At 39.4% G+C, this 5,469-nt stretch overlaps 1 annotated feature.

The window, feature by feature from the left end:
• Window positions 563-1,049: a transcriptional cis regulatory region, noted in NCBI's record as "candidate enhancer chr1.10130 targeted for multiplex CRISPR interference". NCBI's record gives its function as "positively regulates XPR1 gene expression with high confidence in K562 cells {active_cell/tissue: K562}" and the evidence as "EXISTENCE:mutant phenotype evidence [ECO:0000015][PMID:30612741]".

Raw genomic sequence — 5,469 nt, forward strand, 5'->3', positions numbered from 1 at the left:
AGAAATGACACAGATTACTTCTGCTGACAGCTCATGGGTTAGAACTGGTCACATGGCCCCACCCAACCACACGGGGATCAGGAAGTATAATCTTAGCTTGAGCCCAGAAGGTGAAAAGCTGGAAATGTTCTGTGAGCAGCTTGAGACAGATGGAAACAAGAGAAGAAACAGTGGAGTGGTAACGGAAGTGTTGACACGACTCCAGATATTAGGCAAGAAGGCTGTGATCAAGTAACAGAGAATTAATTTCAGTTGTGTTAGAAAGATGTAGCTTCAGGATGGTATTTCATATGAAGTAACTCTGGAACAGGAATCCAAGAAGGGCCACATTTTCTGAAATGTTTCTGAAGCTGATAGGGTTCTTAACATTTAAAGAGTGAGCATTCAAAGAGTGTTTTTGCTCATCAGCCATTGATTTAATCCTGATGTGAGGAGTTTATATAGATCATCCAAATATTAAGCCACCAAGCCAGACGGTATTTTGAATGCATTTGGGGAATGGCAGAACTGTCTGTTCTTGACTAAGTGCCTACCCAACCCCCATCCTCTGTAAGCGCTCTTAGTATGTGTGTGTGCACTTCGGGGAGAGAAAAATCAATACCTTCTTGGATAGGTGGAAATTGAGCTATGTCAAGGCATACACGCATTGTCTGATAGCATCTTTCTGCCAGGAATCTAATATATTGATCAAATTTCCCTAGCAGGACAGCCATGCAATATACAATAGCAAGACAGGCTAATGGTAGGAATGTTGGCTATGCATTCCTTTTGAAATAGTTCCTTCACCCAAGAAAACAAAGCTTGAGATCTCCATGCAAGGCACTGCCCCTCCTGATGAGTGCCTTAATCTCTTTGCAACGTCTGGCAGAGGTCACAAACAACACGCTCTCCTATCTGTTTCTGTGGTTCACCTGCTCCTCACTGAGGGTGAGAAATGATCTTCTCAGTTGGAACACTCCTGTCAAACACAGTGTTCTGCCCCTTTCTCTTGTTTGTGTCCACATCTTCCTCCATGGTTCTTTATTTTAACTTTTTTAGACAGTCTCACTGTGCCACCCAGGCTGGAGTGCAGTGGCATGATCATGGCTCACTGCAGCCTCGACCTCCCAGGCTCAAGCAATCCTCCCACCTCAGCCTCCTGTGTAGCTGGGACTACAGGTGGTCCCACCATGCCCAGCTAATTAAAAAAAAAATTATTTGTAGAGACAGGGTTTCACCATGTTGCCATGGTGGATGTACCCATCTGGTTTCCAACTCCTGAGCTCAAGTAATCTGCCTGCGTTGGCCTCCCAAAGTGCTGGGATTTCAGGCATGAGCCATCACCCCCAGCCCCTCCCCTCTTCTTTGAACCAAAGCAACATTTCCTTTCTTCCCCAGCAACAGCAGCAAATATGTGGGTGGCTATTTGGCTGCAGCTCTATGTAGCTATAGAGGCTGTACCTTTGCATTGTGCCCGTGCTGTTTTGACTGTTGTTAATAACTTTTGTTTCTTGTTGTTGTTAAAATGATGAGAAGAGGAAAAGAGCTCTCTGCCTTGGGCCTTTCAAATATGCTCATGCTCATTCCTATCTTAGAATGATGACACAGAAGCACAAGGGGCATTGGCTGACACTCTGTTCATCGATGATAGGCCTGCCTTCAGCTGCTAAAGAGGAAGTGACATGGAGAAGCAGAGAGGAGGATGTGCCTGTATTTTTAAATAAACTGCCTTGTGATGCAGAAGGCCTGTGAAACATTTGAGATATTGAACCCTAGATACATGGAAAATTACTCACATGATTTTGTATTTTTTTCCCCCTAATGACTCCAGTAATCCAAAGGAAGATTATTCCGGTTAAATGACTCATGTAAAACACGTTTTTCAACTGTATCTTGGGCAAAGACGAATCTATTCAGAGATAACAATTTATTATTTAACGTTTTGACAGGTCTACAGAAGTACAAGTCAATTGAGTCCAAATAAAGAACTGTGCTATTTTTAACGACTTCTAGATGTTCTCGGCAGAAGCAAGGCCAGGTTTTGTTAGAGGAAAGAACAGGTTTATGGTTTTTTCCTTCAGGTTTTCACATAAGATTTGATAATCAAAATAATATTTTAAAGGCAAAGTCAAGAAGTAACCTTGGTAATGTTTATGAAAATATGATGAAAGGTTTAGCAAGAAAAAAAAATGAGTAATGTGAAAACTAACTATACCCTGGAACTAGAAATAGATGCATCTGTTAAAAGAGAAAAAATTGTAATATTTTTACTACCTCATTTCTATTATTGCATAGATTGTTGGAGGATTATGTACTTTATAATATGCTTTTCCTTTCCCTAAACAAAGCCATCCCATCCTTTATAGATGAAAAATACCATCCTATTTGAACTTTATCATTCAAATGTACAACAAATCTAATATAGGATTTTAATATTTTTACAATGTTTTCAAACATTTTAGAACTGTTATTTTACTTGATAAACATGCATTATTATCAGGTAGGTAGGCATGATTATTATTCCTGTTTTATTAAGGAGGCAATGAAGACCAAGGTCACATAGCAAAGTAATAATAAAATTGTAACACAGTTCTTTAGACCAAAAACTAATCATATTTTTAGGCGTAAACTTATCTTTATTTTCTTTCTTTTCCCGGCACTGAGTTAAGAGTACATAGAAGTCTTTGAAAAGTTTTGTTTGATGTATAATTTTTAAAATCTTTCTTCTGAAAGAGTGATAAATGAGGGTTTTGTTCCCTTTGGGGTGAAAATTGATATTATATTGCACTTTGAATGCCCAAAGGGAGTGAATTGGCCCAATTTTGCCTTATACCACTTTCCAATACCTTCACTTGGAGTGACTTACACTGTGGTTAATTGCAGTTACAATGAAGAGATTAACATGGGAATGTCATAATAATTGAATCTAAAGAAGACATAATTTCAAAATAAGAGCTTGAGTAATAATACCATTGTGTAACAATCTGATTTCCATCCCTCTTATTTTTCCTATATTATGCAGTTTAGTTCTTTACTATCATGTGTTTCATGTTTGTTCGGTTTTACCAACACATCATTAGTAAATTGAATGTAGGGCTTCTCATTTCTTTTGTAATCCTACATCTAAAAGATTTTAGTCTTTAGAATCCTCTTGAAATGTTCTCCATTTAAAATGGAGAAATAGTTCATGCTCTCTCATCTAAGTAGGAGCTAAAATCTAAAAAATAAATAAATAAAATAGTCCATCCTCTATTATTATTATTGAATACTGAATTTGTTAATTATTATTTATTTTTTGAGATGGGGTTTCACTATTGTCGTCCAGGCTGGAGTGCAGTGGCGTGATCTTGGCTCACTGTAACCTCTGCCTCCTGGGTTCAAGTGATTCTCTAGCTTCGACCTCCCAAGTAGCTGGGATTACAGGCACACGCCACCATGCCTGGCTAATTTTGTATGTTTAGTAGAGACAGGGTTTCACCATGTTGGGCAGGCTGGTCTCGAACTCCTGACCTCAGGTGATCCACCCACCTTGGCCTCCCAAAGTGCTGGTATTACAGATTATAGGGTTTTTTTTTTTTTTTTTTTGAGACAGAGTCTTGCTCTGTCACTCAGACTGGAGGAGTTCAGTGGCGTGGTCTCAGCTCACTGCAACCTCCGCCTCCAGGGTTCAAGATATTCTCCTGCCTCAGCCTCCTGAGTAGCTGGGATTACAGGCACCCACCACCACACCCCGCTAATTTTTTTGTATTTTTAGTAGAGATGGAATTTCACTATGTTGGCCAGACTGATTTTGAACTCCTGACCTCAGGTGATCTGCCTGCCTCGGCCTCCCAAAGTGCTGGGATTACAGGCATGAGACACTGCGTCCAGCCTGAATACTGTGTATTTATTGCCTGCCCTTCATGTTGATTTTATTATGTTCTGAAATTTTCCATGCCCATTCATTCATTTCTTCGTTTATACATCTATACATCTAGTACAGCCAACATGTATTGTACTCCCATAATACCACGTTATGTTGTAACTACTTGTTTCTCCTTCTAGATTTGAACTGTATGGAACAGAGACTGTATGTCTATAATCTTTTCATCTGAGGAAGTGCTTAGTAGATCATAGGTGCACAATGAATGTATTTTGATAAATGGCATCTAGTAGAATGCCACGTACCTGGCAGGTAATGATTAAATGCTCTCTACTGGCGAAGACAACACTGCTTTCTTTTACTTTCTGTTTTCATCATTTTTCTCATAAATGAAAAGTTTGAAATATTTGAAAAAATAAAACTCTACCTTTTGACTGGAGTTTAAAATTTCATTACCATGCAAGATCCTATTTAGATAAAACAAACAACCTATTTGGGAGGTGGGTGAATATTGAATGCCCCTGAAGCATTAAATATTTTATCAATATGCATGATTTTTCAGTAGATTGATATATGCATAATGGCAAGAAACCTTAGGTGGGAATCAATATGTACTATATTTTAAATCCTAGTAGAATAAACAGAAAATGATGAAAAAAGCAGTGAATAATTATTTCTATGTTCATTTAAAATTCTGCCTCTGGTTAAACTGAGCAGCCTTTTCAAAATCATTGGAACTGTAATAACATGCCATTAAATGCTTCTGCTTGTTCAGTTTTTCATTTGCAAAGGTAATCCATGCTTTAAAACCTGGAAACCTTTGAAATATGCATCAGGCAGGAGGCTGGTGTGGAGATTGCCTTAAGGTCAGGGCTTTCAGCTCCTTGGTTGCTGAGTCTGAGGTTTTCGCCAAAGGCCACGAAATAGCCCTTCATTAACGGGTTCTTGGCGGCAAATATAATTAACAGCTAGCCATAGATCAGAATGTTGTAAAGGGATAAATGTCTCCTGTGGTGTGAAAATAGGACCAAAGACGCTGATCCTATGACAAGAGTCCTATACACTCATCACCCTATAGTTGGTGGGGATTTGATTTAACGAAATGGTTTGGGATAAAGCACCTTTGTAATGGTGGTGGTTTCTGACACATAGCACAATCATTTGTGGTTCTGGCCTGTATAGAGCGCAGCTGCTTGACTCCACATGTTGGCAATTGCTGTTTTACCAAAGCCTTTCCCAAGGACTCTCATGGCAGGCCAGTTAGATGCATGTTTGCACAGGTGGTAAATCGGCTGTTTTCCCTGGAAGTTATCATCTTCTCTTTCCAGTTTTTCCGTAGAGGGTCACTCAAGGGTGACAAGAAGTTTACTGCTCCTTGAAGGCTCAGTCTGCTGTCGCCAGGGCTGCCAAAACACAGCCTCAAAGAGACAATGATTTGAACCTGGTTTGCTGACTGCTGTCTCTAGACTCCCTGGCACCACTCAGTTGGGGGAAGAAAAAAAATATACCTGGTAGCATTCAAGTCTAGAATTGTAATGAAGTTAGGGTGTCCAGATGTATCTTTTTAAAGGGATTAACCCAGTGTTCCCGGAAGCCTTTTGAGGATAATAAATTTACTTTCTCCAAAG

This window comes from Homo sapiens, chromosome 1 (genome assembly GCF_000001405.40).
Source record: "Homo sapiens chromosome 1, GRCh38.p14 Primary Assembly".
NCBI lineage: Eukaryota > Metazoa > Chordata > Mammalia > Primates > Hominidae > Homo > Homo sapiens.